Raw genomic sequence first — 23,165 nt, 5'->3', positions numbered from 1 at the left:
AGACCCGATCATAGAGTTAATTTAATATTTCCACAAATAATTAATATATCAAATAGTGAAACTTCAGACCTCTGGAAATAGATTTATACAACTTCTCACAAATAAATTTTCAACATTTTGCATCCAGTAGCCCAATGCCTTAATGTGATGTAAATACAAATTCTAGAGTTCTAATTACCTTTATGAGAGATATCAAGTAGTGATTAAATCACTAGAACAATACATCTTGCTACATTTTTATATCATTTAGATTCATGATAAAAATTAATAGTAATAAAATCTCACAATGAGTATGCAACTGTAGATTGCTTATCCTAATTGATTTTTCTATCCATATATTTTCAACATTTTTAAAAAGCATTGGGTTTCTGTTCCTTTGATTTCAGCAGAATGTTTCTTGCATTTCAAAGAAAAAAACTGGACGTCACATATTGCAGTTTGCCATACGATAACGTTTGTAAATTTTTCAACAGAATCATTTAGATTTCAGATGACTAATTTGTTCAAAAGTAATTTTAAAGAGAAAAATGCTAATCATTTACATAATAAAAAACACATTGAGAAGAGATCCAGTCTATACATCTGGTTATGCAGTTGGGATGCTGGTTCAGCCAGTGAGGACTGTGCGCCCCGGCAGTGAGGGCTGGAGGTCTTGAGGGGGGTTGAGCCCCATCTGCACACAATTACAGTAGAGCGCTGGAGTTACTTCCAATCAAAGGAGCCAACTGACTTTAATGGAAAGCAGATGGACCATTTCTTAACATGCAAATTGCAGGGTCATGCTTCATCATAATTAAAGAGATTTTTAAATGAAGAAATTTGAACTGACATCGCCCTGATGCTCATTACATTTGATTAAGGCTGTTGGTCCTTGAATGCTATTCAAGATTAAAACCTTACAGCGAGGGCACTGGGCTGCTTGGATTGGCTTCTGGTGAGTTCAGGTCACTTCGGAGGCTATTTACTGTAGCTATATTTACTCTAGAAGATTATACATTGGAAAGCCAAAGAGAAAGGTAGATTCAGAAGTCTCGGAGAATGTGCTCTATGAGTTTGAAGAATTGGTCATCATTTTTTTTTACTATGCACCAAGGAATCAAGTAAATCATGAAATGTTCTCTGCGGCTACTCTCCCTCGCCTTATCCCCTTCGGTAGAACTATTTGTCTGGCATATGCAGGCCACCCTTCAATGCAAGAATGATACTAAATGATCACCTTGTTGAGATTGGTTTTTCATCACTCTGAACAAATTTTGGTGGCTTTTTTCTTGACACAAAACATACAGAGCTGCTTCTATTAAAATCAATTAACTTTGGGTTTTCTCTCCGATCAGGAATTGGTCTTTTTTTTCTTTTTAATGGGAAAGTCCTATGGTCAGTGTAATAAAAACGTTCTATCTTGTAAACATTTTGGCATTGCTTTATTTTCTGGTATTTATCTTTTTAAAAAACAGAGTGAATGTACATGTGAGTAATAAGACCATGCTGGAAAAGAGATCTGAGTTGCTTGAAACAATATATGATAAAGATGGCAGTACAGAATACTTATGATAAATCTTCACCCTTCCCTAGGTGACTTTCAAACAGAGTAGGGATTACCATTGTTGCAGTGGTTTGCATAAATGTTGCACTAGTCTCTTATTTCCACAGACATATTCTTGAGTGAAGAATAAGAAAGTGGGTTTGGCTATTAGTTCAGCAAACATTGACTGTTCATTGAACATTTGCTATTGCAGAATGTTCTCTTCTGGGACATTGTGAGGTGCGGGAATGAAGGAGACATGGTTTTTGACCTCTGGGGGCTGTGGCTTAATGGAAAGACAGGCATCATTAAATGAATTTGCTGCAGCAAGAGGCAGTTAAATGCATGTCTTGACAGTTACAGGCTCAACATTGAAGGGGGGCAAAAGAATAAAGCCTTTATTTCCAATTGAGAAGTTTAGGGGAAGTGTCACAGAGGGGTGGCATTTGGTCCGAGCCTGGAAATATTCAAGGGCCTACAGTTAGAAAGCAGAAGGCAAGACATTTCAGAATGAAAACAAACAAACAAACAAACAAAAAAACCATAAACAGGCCATGGTATTATTAAGGACCTGGCAGTGTATTTGTAGGAAAGCTGGGTTTAAAGATAATATCTGTGACAAAAAATTAAAGATGTACCAGGAGATAGATTGACAAATAAATGGTAGCCAATTATGAAGAAGGATGCCTTGAAGGGGATGCCAAGAAGTTTCCCTTCATTCTATAGAGAATGGGATGCAATTAAAGAGTTTGGGAAACTGAAGGAGAGAACCTCGCTTCTACGTTAGAAAAATAACCCCAAAGTACCAATAAGGGGACAGTAGAAAAAGAGATTGAGATGCAGGGAAATAGGTTGGGAACAAGGAAGGGAGTAAAGTCAGGTGGCCATCATGGAGACAAAATGATTTGATAATTCTTGAAAATGTACTATGCAGTAAGACAACTAAATGTTGTTAGCTGCAAGAACATATCAAAAAGGTTCTAAGATCCCTTAGACATCCTAAAGAATAAAGTTGTCATAAAGATAGATATCCCAGGAGAAGGGGCATATCTGGGACAGAGAAATTCAGCAGGCAGGTGGAAAAGATGGTCTGCAGCTTAGCCAGGGATTAGAGATAGACTGGAAAAACATTTGCTTAGCAGCAGTATGCTAATCATCCAAGTCTAGGTACCCCCATTGCTATGGTTATGCACTGAGATGAAAAGTTTACAATACAAGCTTGAAATAAATGCATGTCATGGCAGAACAGGAGTCAAAGACTGACTTGGTGAAGTTCCAGATCCACCAGGAAAGCTGAGGATCTTAGAATAAGAATGTCCAAGGGATTTGCATATCTATCAAAACCATCTCTTTTCTCTATCTCTCTATGTGGCCTTTTCTAATATGAAATGTAGAAAGCAGCAGATAATTCAGAGAGAAACCTGAGATCAGATTGTAGTCCCAGGCAACTAATTTAATATTCCTTAGATTCAGTTATCTCCTATTCAACATGTAGATAATTAACCCTTTACCCACTTCACAAACTCACAGTGAGGATCAGATGAGACAAATTTATTGTAAACTAAAGGTCACTACTCAGCCATGACCCATCAGTAATAAAGGAGACTGCAATAGGTATGGTAAACATTTTCTCCAGAAAATAGCTTTTTTTAGATTAATGACTTTTGACCATATATAAATATGCTTTAAAAAAATTATTCAATTCCATCCATCCAAATATTTGATGACTTTAAAATTTTCGTAAACAAGACTTACCATGAATTAAGATCAAAATGAAATAGGAGTTGAAATTCAACCATGTCAACATGCATCAAACCTTATTTGCATTTGGTGTTTGCACATTTTCCAGTTTCTTCTGTGTTTAAACTTACAAAATGGAAGAAGAAATAGAGCATTCTTAACTAGCTTTTGAAATGAGTTTTCAATGCTTTCAGCAAACGACCATTGTGTACAGAAAATGCTATTAATGGTAATTGGTGTTCTTGGTGTTGATGGCATTCACCATCATGGAGCCATAGATTCTATTTCATTCAGTTAGTTTTGCATATTCTATTAGTATTACAAATTTCTTTACAAATTCCCTTTCTGAAATGCCTGCTATTTTGAACTGTGGTTCTTCAATGTATCAGTTGCCAGACAACTTGCATGTACAGAAGGCGATAAAGAAATCAGAATGATTAACTACTTTAAAATGAAACACCTGTGAGAAACTTTTGAAGCAGCACACTCACTCATGCCAAAACCAAACATTATAAATTCATTATTTTCCAATGTTAAGCCATTAAGACTATATATAGGGGAATGCTTGAGCAATTGATTGCGGAATCCAAAAGACTTGAACTTTGGAAATCACTCTTAGGAGATTTCACATGAAGAGATTTTGCTTTGCAGTGTTTTCCTTAAATGAAAAACTCCCTGAGAAAGAAGGAAGATCAAATCTGGAAACCATGTTATAATGACCTTAGGATATATCAATAGACACAGAGCATGATAAAAAATGGGAAAATGACTTGAAACTCTTTATAATGATCTCCTAGTGTGAATTCCATGTTAACCTCAAATGAAACAACCTTGTAACATGATTTATTGAAAAGAATGCACATGAAATGATTGCTCTAGAGATTACTAGGGAATAAGCCACTTGTTACAGAATCAGGAACCAATTTAGACTGTCTTATTAAAAAAAAGAAAAAAAAGACAAGTTAAAAGAAAAAGGAGCAAATAGCTGAACTGAGTGTCAGAAGACTTCAGATGTGAAACCCTGTATGGAGAGGCCACTTTTATGAAAGGAAATCTCAGTTGTCATCAGATCAGATTCATCTCTTCCATATTTGTTCTTCCTCAACTTTTACTTCAATTTGAGTCACACGCAGATTGTTTTAATTGATACGGTCCTGTTTCAGGTGTCCCCCTGAAGCCCAGAAAAGAGTTACGATTTACAGAACTGCAGTCTGGACAGCTGGAGGTTAAGTGGTCCTCGAAATTCAATATTTCTATTGAGCCTGTGATCTATGTGGTACAAAGAAGATGGAATTATGGAATCCATCCTAGCGAAGATGACGCCACTCACTGGCAGACAGTGGCCCAGGTAAGAACCTCATATAGACTTTGATTTTCATCCTGGAGGTAGTGTCTGCTACATAGCTACGCACAAAAAATTAACTTGCTATGCCTCAAAATAGCTTGACTACAGAAATAAATTACTCAGATATGAAATGAACATCATGGGGTCTTCTAAAGAGAGGATGAGGTTCATAGATACAAACGAATGTGCTCGGAAACTCGACCATTGGCTTAATTTGTTCAAATACACATGGAAGGGAGATAATTTTATAACCTGATTATTCACATGTATTTTCTCCAAGAACCACATTTTCCTCAGCTAAACTCAAAGCCAACTAGAGGAAGGGAAATGCAACATTATAAGGACTAATTTGACATTTAATAATCTAAATGCCTTCTCTTCTGTTTCTCCTGCATTTACACCTTTATTCCACCCACAGACTTTAGGAGCATGGCATAAGATTTGTATCACAAAATTACTTAGTGGGACATAGCCAGCAGCCCATAAATCTTCACTAAGTACTTTCTTCTTTGTCTTAGTCAACTTAAAAACTGATATACCACCTGCATGGCAACACTCCCAGAGAGTGCTTCCTCCTCTTCTGTCTTGTTGATGAGAAAAGCAAAATATTTTCTTTCTTTTTAAGAGCTGTTAAATCCAGTACCAGCTGCTAACCACCCCCCCACACACACACACAAACCCTACATGGATATAAAAAGTAACAGATTCTGAATGTGAAACTGTTTCATGCCTTTAGACAACTAAAATGCCTTCTCCACATCTATGTCTATAGGAAAAAAAATCTCACCTTATGTTGATTAGATCATTTTTTCCAAGGACTAGATTCCTATTTTTTTTTTTTTCAGTAAATGTAAAATAAATGTCAATATTTAGGTGTTTGGAAGAAGAATATCTTCTAAATAGCAGTATCTCAAAGGGGTTAAGCACTAAAATAAAACAATGTAAAGACCCCAAAATAAATAAGAAGTTTGATGTAAAAACACAACATTAAATTAGAAAAAAAAAAAACCTGGTCAAATAAATTTAGTAATTCTATTCTATACCTATATTTTATATAAAAAAAATTTGCTTCAGTAAAACATAAAGCTAATCAGAATACAGCCTGAAATTCCATTTGATTTACACGGCATGCTTTCATAAATCGTGGTACAGATTCATTTGTAATTTTTCCAAATTACTTAAAGAATTATGAAAGTAACCAGCAATAAGACCATCTCTTTTATCTCCAAAAGATTTTTGGAAAGTGAAAAGCTCTTTTATTATTGTTGCTGGTATTATTTTTTACTGTTAGTGCTACATGTAGTACTTCCTTCTCTGCTAAACGCTGTGGATACCATGCTGACTTTAAGCTTTTTAAATTCGCAGCTGAAACTCTAAATGATGAAGTTGAAAGTGTTTTCTCAAAGTCTGCCAAATCAGGTAGAAAGCCACATGTAAGAGTTCATATTCTTCCTTTGATCTCAGAAATGTTCAGCTTCTTTTAGATATTGATGTAAACGTGACAGTCATTTTCACATTAAGTTATTTTAAGCTGAGGTTATTATAATCTGAAGTTTGGGAGTGTTCAAATCCAATCCTGTTTCCTTAGTTTCATCCACAGATCCAAGTTGAGTTCGGCACCTGGTGTAGATGAGGGCATAGACTGTAGATGGTTATTTCTTGGAATTCAAGGCAAAGGTTTTCAGATCTACCAATGGAAACAAAACACAGAACATTGTTGAAAGCAGGTATATAGTATGAAGACTGTTAAAGTTATTTGATATCTTAAAATTGTAGCACTAGAGACAGCAAAACCTTCTGATCTTCCCCAGTGTCTATTTTTTTCCTTTTGGGCATTTTATTGAGCAAATATATGCTAACACATCTCACCCTTTTAGATCAGGACTGGTTCTTCATAGATGTTATGTGACTTACTCAAGAGATTTTTAAACAGTGGCTTGGGTTATACTTTACTTCCAGAAATTGCTAGTGGGTTGCATGTGGGTTGTTATACCTATTTTACAGTTATATTTGGCATGTGAGTTAAAAAGACATTTTCTTTCTATAATCTGAAGATGATTTCATCTTCTTGCTGTAATGTAACAATTACTATACATAAATATTCTCTATTGATTGAATATCTCAAATGCTGTAATTAGTCACCAGATTTAAAAATAGCCCAAGCTCTTGTCATAAGGTTTTGACTTCAAGAGATGTTTAATTCTTTGGGGTGAAATATCAGTGGTTCTTTGTTCCCTGACAGCTCTCTTCATAACTGGGCATGATAAGCCCCTCTTATCAGGGGGAAGACAGACTGAGTTGCATTGGCTGATGGGTTAGTGTATTTTTCTAAACAGATCCAACTAACATGTCGGAATAAAAAGTGACATGTTCCCTGTGCTCTGTGACATGTCCCCTCAGACCACAGACGAGCGAGTTCAACTGACTGACATAAGACCCAGCCGATGGTACCAGTTTCGAGTGGCTGCTGTGAATGTGCATGGAACTCGAGGCTTCACTGCCCCCAGCAAACACTTCCGTTCTTCCAAAGGTCAGTCTTCCTTTTCTTCCCAGACACAGAATACTATCCTTGCTACCAGGCACACATGGAATGCAGATTCACTGTCTCTATGTTCATATTTATAGTTAGTCAACAGGTGGCTTTGCTGTTTTAGAGAATGGGACCAGATGTGTTTGAAGGTACCATGTACATTTATGGCTAAGGACAAAATTGGAATTTTACCTGCAGTATATCATAGAAGATAACATAAGGGAGTTTTTTTAAACTTTGAAGTGGCGGGGGGGTTTTCATTATCAACATCTGTTGAGTTTTTGCTTTAAGATATTCTGTATCAAACACCATTCAATTGATTTTCAAAGAGAAAGACTGAATTTTAGCTATTCTAGACAAAATAGCCTTTCTTGAAATGATTGTTAAATTGAAAGTGAATTTGACTCCTACGTTTGCTTCATAACATCTAGAATTTAAACCCCTCCTGAGTCATTTAATCATTGCTATAATTTTGTTCAGTTCTGACTGCCTTGATATTTTAAAACCTCTGTGTAATCAGATCAACAGTGTGTTACATTTGTGGTTAATCTGTGACGGTTGAAGGACATAATTTGACCAGCTATTAATAATATCTTCAAGTTTATTTTTCTAGTTGCATCCATATGGCTGTGTACCTTCCAAATTAATTAGACATCTGCTTGACTAATTATAAGGATCTGGTTTCATAAATACAGATTAGTTACATTAGTCTCTTACTAATAACAAGTCATCTTCTTACACAGAAGCTAATTTAAATTTATTTTATTTTAAGTAAATTTATTTATTGGGACATTAACAAATACTGTAACCTTACATTTAAAAGCCTCTTTTTTTTAAAAACAAACAAACAAACAAACAAAACACTTTTTTTTTCTCCTCAGGGAGGCAAATTCATGAACTAAGCAAACTTTAAAGTGAAATTGTAAATAAAGACATCAAACCTTGTCTTAAGACTCTGTCTCCAAGTGATTTGAAAATTTAGAGAGGCAAGTGAAATAAATAATTAATTGTGGGTTAGGAGGTAGTTATCAATAAAAAGCCTCAGAATGCTTCACCTTGAGTTTCATGGTTCAAATGCGATCCAGAGATGTTCTGGTCAAAATATATTACCATCTGTTCAGTTGCCTGCAGGATTTGGGCTGGTGCTCTGTGAATAAGACTGCAAAATCAGACCTCAGACAGAAGTGGTTCTCAGCCTCTAGAGACAGATGCTGAATTAATTTCCTGTAAGAGTTGCAGTGGCACCTCCTGCCTAGTGGAGGTGACCAAGGTGGTTTTGCTCTCATGATTTGTTACAGAGCCTTACTATCACAAGATCCTCAGGATCTGGGCAGAAATCCTGTGACAGCCCCAGGGTCATGAGGGTGCTAACTGAAAGTAGGAAGGCCAAGCTGTCCTGACACTTCCTAGTATATCGGAGCAACTTATAATCTAGAATGGAAGCTGCATCTCCCAAATTTAAGTGGACTTTTATTGAATGAAAATGCAACTATTGCAGTTTTCATTAAAATGTTGTTCTGTCACTGTTACAAATATACCCAAAATTCACATTGCATATGTCTCATTGTGAGGAGCATCCCAAACTTTAGTTCTTGCAATTTTACAAACCAAAAATGTCTGTACAGAATTCATGGAAGATTCCATTATATTTTCAGTGAAGATGAGTCCTAGAATGACGGGAGTTTAACATATCAGCCAAAGGGTGGTAGACATTCCCTCTATGATATCTTTAAAGCAGATTTAATCACTAACAAGGTGGGACAACATCCTTCCACACTTTTCTCATTCTCACCAAACGTTGAAAACAGCCTCACTGGGAAAAATGTTTTAAAGAACTTTATTGAAATATAATTTCTATACCATAAAAATCACTTATTTTAAGTGTACAGTTGAGTGATTTTTAGTATTTACTGACTTGTGCAACCATCACCATCATCTAGTTTTAGAATGAGTGCATCACCCCGATAAGATCCTTCATGGCTTACCAGGAAAATTTAAAGGTAGAAATAAAGTTAATTCTGTGTCTTTTGCCTCTTTTATTACCCATGTATCTGAACTGCAGTCCTATAGCGTGGGAGTATCCTGTAGCTTGGTACTTGATCTATTCCTTAGAAAAAAGCCTATTTGGGAAAAAAAAAAAAAAAGGCCAAAAGCATAGCAGTCACAGTGATCGACAAATGATTACTCTCTTTCTGGAAATACGAGCATCCCCAAGGAAATTAAGGACTTTTCCCTTAAGCACTCTTTCTCTCAATAGCCTCCATTTGAGTAATCGGCAATGCTGCTCTTGCAGCAGTTTGTGGCAAAAGAGGCCTGCAGTCATTCTCCACTCTAAACATTTTCTGCAAGCCACCGCAAATCCTCAGATCTGCCTTGATTCACCTTTCCCTGTGTTTCCCCTAATCCGCTCAGTTCTGTCTTTAACTGGGAATTGTATTAGCTTCCTAATCACATCCCCACTTCTGCCTCCTGGCTTCTGCCTTAAGGCTTCTGGATTCCTGTTTCCTGATCCTGGCCCCTCATTCCTGCTTTCGGATCCCCACTTCCGGATCCTGGGTTTCAGACCCAGGCCTCTCATCCCTGCTTCCGGATTTCCACTTCTGGATCCCCTCCTTTTTAGTCCTCTCTCAACGCAGCCACCTGAGTGATCCTTCTAAAATCTGAGCCACTTCCCGACAGTTTTTTGCTCAAAGTGTCCCAGCAGCTTCCCCCATCTGATTCAGAGTAGAAGCCATGTTCTTTACAATGGATTTTAAGACCCAGTTGACCCCCCCTTTCTCCTTCCTCTTAGACTTCATCACTACCCTCCCTGTTTTCCTGCTCAACATGCTAGGCTCCTCTGTGTTCTCTGAATACTATAATCTTTCCCTTGCTTCAGGATATTGGCATTTACCTGGTCCTGGACCGGGGATATGCTCTTCCTTCAGATTGTTGAAAGGCTGGCTGGCTCACCTTCTTTATACAAATATCTCTATTCCAGCAAAACCATCTTTAGCCATGCTACTTATATGTGTAAGCAAACAAGCAAACAAATCCACGTTGCCCGTGTTGTATTTTTGTTCTTATTTTCTGTTATGACTGTCTACCCTGCCTTAGTATTTTGCTTGTTAATCTTGTGCACTGTTTCTCCTTGCACTCAATTAGGATGAATGTGTGTGTCTGTTTCTGTGTTTCATAAGACCAGATGTGTTTTCTTTTTTACTTCTTATTCCCACTGCCTAGAACAGTACCTGACACATAGTAGCTGCCCAACAAATCCTTGTTCAATATATGAGGAAATGAAACAAGAGTAATAAAAAGAGAAGGTAAAGACAGAAAATGTTGTGTTGTTGTTTCTACCTTTAAATTTTCTCAGTAAGGGATGAAGGATCAATCTTTTTGGGTTGATGGACTCATTCTAGAACCCAGTGATGGTGATAGTTACACAACACAGTAAATATAAGAATGTCAGTGAGCACTTAAGATGAGACAATTTTATGGTATGGAAGTTACATATTTCAAAAAAGTTGTTAAAGACATTTTTTCGCAGTGAGGCTCTTTTCTACATTTGATGAGCTTGAGAAAGGTAGGGAAAGATGTGGCAGCATCTTGTTAGTGTACTGGTTAAGTCTCCTTTAGACATATCCTGGAGGGAGTGTCTTCCACCGTTTTACTGATTTGTTAAACTCCCATAATTCTGTGATGCATCTTTACGGAAAACATAATGGAATCTACTATGAATTCAGTGCTTACATTTTTGGTTTGTAAGACTGCAAGAACTAACATCTGGGATGCACCTCAAATTGAGACATATGGAAATGTAAATTTTGGGTGTTGTATTAGTCTGTTTTCATGCTGCTGATAAAGACATACCCAAAACTGGGAACAAAAAAGGCTTAATTGGACTTAGAGTTCCACATGGCTGGGGAGGCCTCAGAATCATGGTGGGAGGCAAAAGACTCTTCTTACATGGTGGCAGCAAGAGAAAATGAGGAAGAAGCAAAAGCAGAAACCCCTGATAAACCCATCAGATCTCATGAGACTTATTCACTATCACGAGAATAGCACGAGAAAGACCTGCCCCCATGATTCAATTACCTCCCCCTGGGTCCCTCCCACAACATGTGGGAATTCTGGGAGATACAATTCAAGTTGAGATTTCGGTGGGGACACAGCCAAACCATATCAGGTGTATTTGTCAACGTGAGAGATAGAACAACATTTTCATAATAACTGCAATGACCGTGGTGTTTCAAAAAATGGTGCATTTTCATTCAATAAATGCCCATTTATCCCTGTTTGCTCCAGAATTGAAACTGTGCCAGTCTTCCAGTGGTTTAAAATTACTTTTAAAAAACAGTCACCACTTCCAAGGTAGTAGTCTGTGCAAGGAGTAAGCAATTATCTAGTGTATTTGGTTTGGGTAGAGAGACAGTGTTGATAACTTAAGGCTGGGTCAAGGAAAGCAGGAAGGGTTTTTATTTTTATTTTTTTCATCTACCATGAATATCTCAGCAAATAAAAGTAAAATTAAACAGCAAAAATAGGTAAAATGAGTTCCAGTTAGTTTAGGCTCACTGCATAGGATTCATGGACTATAAAACTGATTTTCATGGAAAAGCCAAACTTCTTGTCCTTATCTTCTTTATAGTTATTTTAAAACACAAAATTAGTCCGTGTTTGGCAAAATGGATTGACTACTATTTAATTTCTTCTTAACTCATTTATTTTCCCATAACTTAGACCTAACTCAACATTAACTATTTTTATAGAAAATTCTAAGTTATTCATAGATTAGTAAATTAGTTTCATGCTTTTCCTTTTCCTGGGGAATACCATTTCTGAGTATTTTTATTGCTAACTCTTACCCCTCCCAGAAAAAATGCATAAATATAGGATGGGCAAAATCATTAATTTTTTAAGAGTTTTGGATAATTTTTATATTTGCCTACTTAAATACTGTATTTCTTCCTGGTACTTGAGATGGGAAATTGGCTTTGAAATTAAAGATGCATAATAGTTTAATAGATTAATGCCTAGTGCTCATTTCTACTTTTTGTCTCTTTATTTAGAATGTGGGACTGCATCTTTGCACATAGTAAGTTACCTTCACAGGTCATTCCTGGGGGTCTACCTAAAGTTTTCTATCCCATTCCATTTGGAACAAACAACATGAAACCTCTGAGCACGAGATGTTGATATGTCTGCATATTGCTACATAAGTTGATATTTGCTGCTTTGAAACACAGATTTCAACAAATAGAGATTGCCCATCAAAGATCAGACACCTTCAGAACCTGATCCAAGTGAAGGCTTTGAGTGTGAGCAGTTTACTTAGGAAGTGATCCAAGAATGTGGTAGGTAGGAAGGGAAGTAGGACAGGGTGTAGAAGGAATACAGTAAAGGGTGAATTATTTACCATAGGCAACCTAAGCTTCCTCTCCACGGGGCACTCAGGGAGCTAGCGTGAAGCACACACACCTCAGAACTCCTCGCTGGAGGGGGGTTAAGGGTGTTCAAGTCAGTCTTTGTCTGCAGCTGTTCCTAGCGTATCTGGTCTGCATGCTGGCGGAGCTTGCTCTGAGCCCAGACACAGCCTTAGGTGAGGAGGTGTGGGAGGGCATTCAGAAGTTGAGCTGGTGTGCCCTGAAACAGCCTAGCACAAGAAAGTCAGGGTGGGACCCTGAAAACATCTGTTGTTTACCTCTTGTTTAACTCAACATCAGCGTGATTCCTGTTACAGAGTGGATCTAATACATTTTGAATTACGGTTTAAAATAAATATATTAATAGTTTCATGAATAAAATGTGATGAAATCATGAAAGGAATTCCCACATTACTAAATATTCCTAATCTTCTTCCTCTATGGTACAAAGTTAATAATCAGACACAGGCATCCCTTTCTAGTTTCTTTTATTTTCACCTCTCTCATTTCCCAAAATCTGACGAGCTTTACATTATTGTTCACTTCTTGGAATGAGAAGACCACTAATGTCTAACCAACAGAGAGCCCAGATTTTGGGAATGACCAATTTGGAGTCAGGGTTACAAATATAAAAACACCTTTGGGTTCCATGTTGCAGTTGCTTATCTTTTTCAGTAAGTTGGTGTTTAACCTTTCCTTGATATTGCTGATATTTATCAAATGAGTAAAAATAGTTATTTTACAAATAAACATTCGTATTTTTACAAATAAAGTAAATACAAAATTACAAAATACAAAAATACAGAATATTGCATGCTTAGGATTGGAAATATATATTGCTAAGTAGCTACTACCTATTACAAAATAGTATTTACCAGTTTGCTGAATTTGGGAAATAATGTGTTTGTTTCTGGCTACTGTGACTACATCTATGTGTCAATATGGGTAGTAAAAGAAGGAAGAGTTCTGATTTTGTGGATTGTATAAGGCAAAATCCAAATTCATTTTTTTTGATATGTTGCCAAAAGCGGGCAAGCATGTTTGTTCATTTGAAATTAGTCAATATCAATTTGACATCACAAAATAACACACTTTTAAGGGATCTTATGAAGAAACATAAAAATCCAACTTAAATTATCCTTAACCTAGCATATTATCTTTTAGTAATTATATTCATTTCCCTCTAAATTCCAAGTTCTTCATCCATCTTTTTCTCCTTATTTCTCCATGTGCATAGGATACATTACAAAGGAAAAGGAAGCAGACAGCATTGTTTTCACAGCATATAAGTATCACACTGGATGTTATTCCATGCATGCATTACAGAGTGTCAGTAAAACTAGAGCAGACATCACTGATGGTAATAAAGTTCCCTGTTGCCCCGTGGGGACCCATGACTTTTTACTCTGTTCCACAGCTGCTCGGGATGTGCCATTTCCAATGGGCAAAAGGCTTGGCTGTACATATGTCTTGAAACTATTTAATAGTTGGAAATTTGCCTGCAGTGTAGCTTCAGCAGCTTTGCTAAGTTTTTTTTTTTTTTTAAGGGAGAAGGAACACTACCCCAACTGCCAAGTCTGGAAAGAAAAAAAAAGGTTTAAATATTATTAGAAGCAAACTTCTATTTAGTTGAAAACTTTGTGACACAGTTATATTATTGTTTTTAAAATATAACTGCACTTGACCAAAGTTACATCAAGTATATACCATAAGTATACCTTATGAGGTGTTCTTATGATGCGTTTCAGTGCGAAGTTTAATCTATAGACATTATTGGTAGAAATGAAATAAGTAAAATCAACATTCATTTTCTTGAAATAGGTATTGTTCTCCATGTGCACATGTGCATGTTTCTTTATGATGATCTATAATCGTTGCTCTCTTTATGGCCTCATGGGTTTCTGTATTTAACAAATAGTGTTGTCTTAAACCTAGAGGAGCCTGCCTCAGAAAAAGTGATGGCATTTCTGCTGGGACAAGCAGAAGTGGTCTTTTCCCATGAGATTCATGTCAGTGCAATAATAGGCCTGCATTTCTCCAAGGGTGATAAGTGATTTTATTGTCACTTTACCCAACATAGGCTCAAAGTCTTTCCATTGTGTCAAACCTTCGTGCTTGTTACTTTGCCTGTTTGTGGCATGAAACACAAGAGGTTAAGTGATGAAACCTGAAATTTATCTTTCTGAAATCCAAATGTTCCATCTTTCTCTCCTGAAAGCACCACATGTGATCATCAATAAAAGGAACTATTTTTCCCCAAGGCTGAAATTGGGTATACATGCTAAATATTTAGCATATTTTACGTTGGTAATCACACTAATTGTATAGCGTAGAAGGAGCTAATACAGCCTTCCTATTTCAGTTATCTCTGAAAATGTGCTTGCTCTCTGCAGTGTGTTTCTGCAGATAATTGTGAAGATCATAAGGAGGGAGTTGGCATCAAACAGAAAGAGAAGTGAGCTGGGGGAAAATGCCCAGATTTGAGACTCAGAGGAAGGGTTAGGAGAGCACTGGTCTTGTGGTGTGCCTCCCATCCTCTCACTTGAAGAGGTAGTAAATCAAACTCTGCTCTTGAAGTAGTGAATCAAACTGTGATCCTCAATTTCCCCATCTCTAAAATAAGAACAATAATGTTAACATTTAATAGACAAAATGCAGCTGTATGTTTGTAAAATTAGGGATAAACAGTGCTCATGTCGAGTTTCCTAAACCTAATGGTTTCACACTTTTTGAAATTCTCCCAACTAGGGGAGAGCAGTCTGTGGCCCAGGGTCCAAATTTGGCCTGCAACCTGGTTTTGCAAATAAAGTTTTATTGGAACATAGCCACACTCATTTGTTTACATATTGTCTGTGGCTGCTTTTGAGCTATGAGGGCAGAGTTGAGTGATTGTAACGGAGACCATATGGTCCGCAAAGCCTAAAATCTTTACTATCTGGCCCTTTCCAGAAAAGGCCTATCAATGCCTGCACTAGCCTATTGTAACAGACACTTTTCCCATTAAAAGGCTTTGAATTTTTACATTCTGTAGGGATATTGTCCCTTATTTTGATGGTGGAATATATATGTAGAGTGTGGCATGTAGAGGTGTGTATTGTTAGACCTTCAACCCCGTTTTTCTCCTTTCCTTTTTGTTCTCACGCTCCTTGTTCTGCCATCAATGATGTGAATGACCTTGGACATATATCTTTACCTCTCTGACCCCTAAAACCCTCCCCAGTTAAAAAAAGGTGAAATAAGTTGTAAAATTCCTTAGGGCTTTATAATAACGTATAGAGTTTCCCTCTCTGACTCTCTGGCTCTCATCAGCCACTGTCTATTTATGCATATGTACATCTATATATGTGTGTGTGTGTGTGTGTGTGTGTGTATGTGTGTGTGTGTGTGTGTGTGTATATATATATATAAATTTCACATGGAAATCTCCAACTACATTTCAAAATTCTAAAACAATTAAAATATCATGCATAATGAAAGAAAACATTCTGTATAATTCAGCCGAATGAATACACCTTGCTTCATAACGTAGGGAACCAATTCTCAAGGCAGAGAATGACTTAGATATAGAAACTTGTTAGGACTGAGTAAAATGCTTCAGATTAGAGAAACTGGATTGACCCTGTCTCACCTGAACCCCATAGTGAATAAATGGATAAATGAATGGCTGGTTTACAGAGGAGAATCACGGCAACAAACAGGTGATCGCTGCCACTCTCTTTTGGTTTTGTTTTCTTTTTGTTCTTGTTTTTTTAAGAGCCAGAATCTCACTCTGTCATCCAGGCTGGAATGCAGTGGTGCAGTCGTACCTCACTGTAGCCTTGAACTCCCAGACTAAAGCAGTTCTCCTGCCTCAGCCTCCTGAGTAGCTAGGACAACAGGCACACAACACCATGCCCCAGCTAATTTAAAATTTTTTTTTCTGTAGAGACAGGGTCTTTCTCTATTGCCTAGGCTGGTCTTGAGCTCCTGGCCTCAAACAATCCTCCTGCCTCAGCTTCCCAAAGCACTAAGATTACAGACGTGGGTCACCATGTCTGACCTGGTTTTACAGTTTTATGGTGATTATTTTGGGGGAGAAAGAGATGGGAGTACCTTATCTTGGTAATGGAAGTTTGCCATTTTGGTATTGTAAATTCAAAATGGGCCTTCCTTTTGAGAAAAATGTAAAGAAAATATTATTAATTCATATCTTTTAATGCATTGTTTTCTCAAATGTTGTTTTCATAAATTGTGTTGTTTCATGTTTCATAATGTTTCATAAAATAGATGATGTTATTCTAGATTATTATGATAACATCTAAGAAAAATTTTCCAGGGCAGGAAATGATGTAATGAATAACATAAACTAAAGAAGATGATCAAATTCAGTGACCTTCTTAAATGTTAGAGTTTCTTTAGAAGAGGAGATTATTTTGAGCTTTTCCTTCTGAGCCTAGAATATCTGCAATATTCATGTGACTACTTATTTTCAGCATATAGACATTCAGGTGCATTGCCGAGAACACGAACGGCTGTTATTTTCACACATTTTAATTCTTCTCTTGCCTTGAAGTGACGATTCAGTTGTAAACTAGGTTCCCTCCCAGAAAGGTTGGTAACTACCTTTTGTAGGTTAAGGATTGATTCCTACACCAGAGGAAGAGGTGTTGCTTTAATTATTTTATTTCAAACTGGGAAGAACACTCCTTTGATTTTGCAATTCACTTTAGGATCTTGTGATCTAGCAATTCTGATTGACAGAGTTTGAACCTGAAACTGAAATATCACATTACAAATCAAAGCTAACGTTTAGAAGCCTGTCCTTCATTTATTCATTCAGCAATTGCTTACTGAGCACATACTGTGTGCTAGGTGCTCTTCTGGACTCTGGAGATACAGATGTGAAAAAACAAGCAAACATTCCTCCTCTCAGGGAGCTTTCATTATCGTGAGTAGAAGCAGACAGCAAACAAGGTACCTAATAAGTCAGTTTGTGTATTAGTCACGGTTCTCTAGAGGGACAGAACTAATAGGATAGATGTATATATAAAGGGGAGTTTACTAAGGAGTATTGACTCACACAATCCCAAGATGAGTTCCCACAATAGGCCATCTGCAAGCTAAGGAGCAAGGAAGCCAGTCCAAGTCCCCAAAACTCCAAAGTAGGGAAGCCGACAGTGCAGCCCTTCGGTCTGTGTTCAAAGGTCTGAGTCCCAAAGCTGAAGAACTTGGAGTCTGATGTTCGAGGGCAGGAAGCATCCAGCACAGGAGGAAGATGTAGGCCAGAAGACTAAACCAGTCTAAAATTTCCACATTCTTCTCCCTGCTTTTATTCTGGCTGCACTGGCAGCTGATTGGAATGGTGCCCACCCAGATTGAGGGAGGGTCTGCCTTTTCCAGTCCAGTGACTCAAATGTTAATCTCCATGGCAGCACCCTCACAGACATACCCAAGATCAACACTTTGCATCCTTCAATCCAATCAAGTTGACACTCAATATTTACCATAACAGTTAGTAATAAGGGCTTGGAGAATAATAAAGCAAGGCATAATCATGGTGACTTTTTTTTTTTTTTTTTGGTAAATGGAGCAAAGCATATGTAGCTATTTTAAATAGGGTCACCACCTGCAGCAGGAAAGGAGCCAGCCGTGGAGACATCAGGGAAAGCGTTTAGGCAAAGGGAGAGGAAAAGCCTCAGTAGCATCGCGGTTTTCCTCTCCAAGAAACAGCATGGGAACCAGTGTGGCTGGGCTGAGGGGTGGAGGTGATAAAATGAAAGGTGCTCTGGGAGGTAACTGAGGCACGGGTTGCAAGGCATTCAGGAGACTCCTGGGTTTTTACCCTAAGTAAGGAGATTCTGTGCACAGGAGTGACATGGTCTGGCAGTATAGAATCATCAGACTGCTGTATTCAGAAAAACCTCTAGGGAGGCAGTGGAGAGCCCTTGGCACTTGGCCCAGGGCATTGGAAGTGGTAAAAGGCAGTTAAATTCCTGTTACACTTTGAAGGTAGTGCTAACACAATTTGCTCAAGAGATATGAGTGGAAAATAAATGTATGACTTCAAGGGTTGGGGCCAGAGCAACTGGAAAGAGCAATTCCCATGTACTGAGATGGGGGTGTCAGTGGTGGGCTGTGTGTGGTAGGATATGTGTTGGTGGTGGGCTGTGCATAGGGATCATGATTTTTCTTTGGGACACATTAGTTTTGAAATGCCTCTGAGACCTCCAAGTGGAGCTACTGGAAGGTATTTTTTGAGTATTGATATTTGAATGATTGGATCTGCATTCAGGAGCATAGTCTATGTTAAAGATATCAATTTGAAAGTTATCAGCACAAAGATTTTTTTAAAACTGTGACACCTGATGAGATCCCTAGAGAGTGAGTGTAGATGAGAAGAGAGAGGCCCCTGAATTCAGATGCAGAACACTCTCCTGTCTAGAGATTATGAGATGTTAAGGATCATGGAGCATGGGGCTGAAAAATAGCTTCTGTTGAAACTGAATGAAAATCCAGTAGAGACCAGGCGTGGTGGCTCACATCTGTAATCCCAGCACTTTGGGAGGCCAAGGCGAGTGGATCACCTGATGTCAGGAGTTCAAGACCAGCCTGGCAAACATGGTGAAACCCCATCTCTACAAAAATACAAAAATTAGCCAGGCATGATGGCAGGTGCCTGTAATGCCAGCTACTTGGGAGGCCAAGGTGGGAGAATCTCTTAAACTAGGCAGGCGGGCAGAGGTTGCAGCGAGCCAAGATCACACCATTGCACTCCAGCCTGGGTGACAGGGTGAGACTCTGTCTCAAAAAAAAAAAAAAAAAAAAATCCAGTAGAGTAGTGTCCTGAACACCAAATGAAGCCTGCATTTCTTAGAGAAGGAAGTGATCAGCAGTGTTGTGAATATTGATGACTGGGGGAGTCCTCACATGGCTCTGCCAGACCTCCATATTGGGGTGCTTCCCATTCCAATAACGACAGGAAAAATACATTTCCTCCTTACATATGTGATGTTCAGACCTCATAGGAGCCACCTGATGCAGTACTTTTGACCTGCAGGTCATCTACCTCATATTACCTGTGTGTTTCATATAAGATATACATAATCCTGGGTCCCACCTGCACTCAGGGAATCAGCATATCCCAGTATAAGTCTTGGACATTCCAGAGATTCCTGATGTTGATTGAGAATGACTTGACTCAGAAATACCATTTGATCCAGCAATCTCATTACTGGTTATATACCCAAAGGAATATAAATCATTCTATTATAAAGATGCATGCACACTTGTGTACATTGCAGCACTATTCACAATAGCAAAGACATGGAATGAACCCAAATGCCCATCAACAGTAGACTGGATAAAGAAAATGTGGAACATATCCACCATGGAATACTATGCAGCCATGAAAAGGAACAAGATCATGTCCTTTGCAGGGACATGGATGGAGCTGGAAGCCATTATCCTCAGCAAACTAATGCAGGAACAGAAAACGAAAGACTGCATGCTCTCAGTTCTAAGTGGGAGCCGAAGGATGAGAACACATGGACACATGGAGGGGAGCAACACACACCAGGGCCTGCTTGGGGGAGGTGGGGAGGTAGAGCATCAGGAAGAACAGCTAAATGGTTGCTGGGCTTAATACCTAGGTGATGGGTTGATTTGTGCAGCAAACCACCATGGCACATATTTACCTCTGTAACAAGCCTGCACATGTACCCTGGAACTGAAAATAAAAGTTAATTTAAAAAAAAAATGACTTGACTAGCAGTATCACATAATATGCTTTCAATTAGCCTCTTACCTAAAAAATACTATGAAGCTTTCTTATTTTAGAAAATAAAGGAACTAACCTAACTAAATGTCCAGACATGATATATCATAGAGGAAAGCAAGAAATTTCAAAAAATAAGTTATGTTTCCATCATTCCAAAACCACAAATGACTGAGAATAAAAACAAGGATTTTTTTTCTCCAGTCTTCTTCATGTATATCAAGTTAGATATTACTTTTTTGAGCCTCCAACACAGATGGTGCTATAATTAGAATTATTGACAGCATCTTCCCGTGATGGCATCTTGAAATGAAACCCTCTGTAAATCACTGGTGGTGAGCAGCATCTCCACTTGCTCAATTTGTAATAGAAAATGAAGTAAAGACCCTCCAGCTTTGGTATATTTAATCTTCTTCATATATGTATTTTCAGTGGAGATTTGTGAGGTGGTAATTCCAGCACCTCATCTTTCTCTTGACAGCTGAGAAGGTTTTTGTTAATAAGACAAACCAGAAATGGTACAATCACAAAAATGAATGCTATCCATAAGTCATCCAGTGTGCAATGTGGATAAAAAATGGTGCAGGTTTTTATATTTTTTTTCTTTTCTGATTTCCCTTTATTGTTCTTAACTGATGCAAGAATTGCTAGCTACAGGGCACGAAGATGAAAACAATTGCTTTTATGAGCTGAATTTCTTTTTCTTTTCAGAGTGTTAAAAGGTGATTCTTTGTTGCTTACCTATTTAATGTCAATTCACCCACATTGAATTGTACTATATTTTACTAAAATATGTCAATTTCAGCACAGTAAAAATTTGGCTGGGTTGCCGTGGTATGGAAATGCCTAAAACGATCCTTCTGTATTACAAATTTGGACCAAACAAATTTATCTTACTGTTTAATACTCTATCTTTTAATTTGAGGCTTAACAAGGAGATCTTACTTAACTGCTTGTTTTCAGCTTTGCCTTTCTTTTACTTTTTTTTTTTTTTTTTGAGACAGTGTCTCATTCTCTTGCGCAGGCTGGTATGCAGTGGTGCTAATCGCGGCTCACTGCAGCCTTGACCTCCCGGGTTCAAGCGCTCCTTCCGCCTCAGCTTCCTGAGTAGCTGGGACCACAGGCATGCACCACCCTGCCCAGCTAATTTTTTAAATTTTGTAGAGACAGGGTTTCACTATGTTGCCCAGGCTGTCCTCAAACTCCTGAGCTCAAGATATCTGCCAGCCTCAGCCTTGCAAAGTGCTGGGATTGCAGACATGAGCCACCATGCCCCTCCACCCCCGTTTTCAGCTTTTCTATCTATAAAAAGCAATGCTTCACGTGTTGACCATGTAGTCATTACATGTCCAAAGATGTTAGTTTTGTGGAGTCATATGATGTGTCTTTGTACTGGGATTTCAGATCCATCTGCCCCACCAGCACCGGCTAACCTCCGGCTGGCCAACTCCACCGTCAACAGTGATGGGAGTGTGACCGTCACTATAGTTTGGGATCTCCCCGAGGAGCCGGACATCCCTGTGCATCATTACAAGGTCTTTTGGAGCTGGATGGTCAGCAGTAAGTCTCTTGTCCCAACAAAGAAGAAGCGGAGAAAGACTACGGATGGGGTGAGTGGGAACTGGAGGAAGGATTGTTATTCCCACAGAGGGTATTTCAACTCAAGGCAACTGGCCTGAAAAGAGGCCTCTGCTAAACTGAGAGATGCCATGGATGCAGGAAAGCTTCCCTCCCATTCATTTCTACCGAGGAAGTTCACAGAATGCAGGGGCATGCCGGCTGTTTTGCCTTTTATATTTTAGGCAGAAGCATTTGCATTTAGACCATTGACCTACTCCTATCTAAATGTCAGTCAGAACTCTGGAAATCAAAGGAACAGTTTAAATGATCCCCATCTTACCTGTCTGGCCATAGAAAATGATATTATGCAAAATGTACTTTACTTTTAAGTTTTTTTTTTTTTTTTTTGAGAGAGAGAGATCCTTGTAAATGGAAGAGTGGATGTTCATGGCTTTTCTGTTGCGAAGTGTTTCCGTCTGTAATCTAATCACTGAGCAGTAACAGCTTAGGAAGGCCACGTCTCACAATATGTTCTTCTCATTGATTAAAAGGATCTGGAGTGGTTTATCCGTCAGATGCCAAGAAATAAAATCTTCATTGAACCATTTTCTGCAATGAGATTCTTATGATAACAAGCATCTTGTATTATTTGAAATGCTTACTGCATAAAAATAGTTATTTGGATTCCTTTTAGTATACATTCCTTTATCTTGTCATAAAATTTACATAAATACCTTTTCCTATCACTTATAAAGTTGAATTCCATAAATAAATGTTTAGAAATGAAAAGATAGCAAGGCTAAAGATTTCAATATCTGTGCTCTTCAGAATTATAAAACATGCCTCAAAAAGTTGGTATCATTGATATTTAGCCATTATACTATTTTAACTTTATTTATTTATTTTTGAGAGGGAGTCTCGCTCTGTCTCTCAGACTGGAGTGCAGTGGAGCAATCTCGGCTCACTGCAAGCTCCGCCTCCCGGGTTCACGCCATTCTCCTGCCTCAGCCTCCCGAGTAGCTGGGACTACAGGCGCCCGCCACCACACCCAGCTAATTTTTTGTATTTTTAGTAGAGACAGGGTTTCACCATGTTAGCCAGGATGATCTCTATCTCCTGACCTCGTGATCCGCCCACCTTGGCCTCCCAAAGTGCTGGGATTACAGGCGTGAGCCACCACGCCCAGCCCCACTTTATTTTTATGAAATTTTATGACAGTTCCATTTTTTATATTGAAGGATTTTGCTACAAATGATAATGGTAGTGCACACTTATTGCATGAGCTGGAAGAGCTGAAATTGGGGAATCAC

The 23,165-nt window shown here is 38.2% G+C and overlaps 1 protein-coding gene across 2 annotated transcripts in view; it reads left to right on the top strand.

Moving 5' to 3' along the window:
- Positions 1–23,165, top strand: part of ANOS1 (anosmin 1) — a 203,264-nt gene that overhangs the window by 139,734 nt on the left and 40,365 nt on the right. For both annotated transcript variants that reach the window (NM_000216.4, NM_001440775.1), the window contains exons 5-7: positions 4,426–4,610; positions 7,008–7,137; positions 21,700–21,905. In NM_000216.4, coding sequence (NP_000207.2) covers positions 4,426–4,610; positions 7,008–7,137; positions 21,700–21,905 — 521 coding nt within the window. The remainder of the gene's footprint in view (positions 1–4,425; positions 4,611–7,007; positions 7,138–21,699; positions 21,906–23,165) is intronic.

Source organism: Homo sapiens, chromosome X, assembly GCF_000001405.40.
Source record: "Homo sapiens chromosome X, GRCh38.p14 Primary Assembly".
In the NCBI taxonomy this organism is placed as follows: domain Eukaryota; kingdom Metazoa; phylum Chordata; class Mammalia; order Primates; family Hominidae; genus Homo; species Homo sapiens.
Note: the sequence above shows the minus strand (reverse complement) of the source record. Positions and strands in the feature narration are given on the sequence as shown.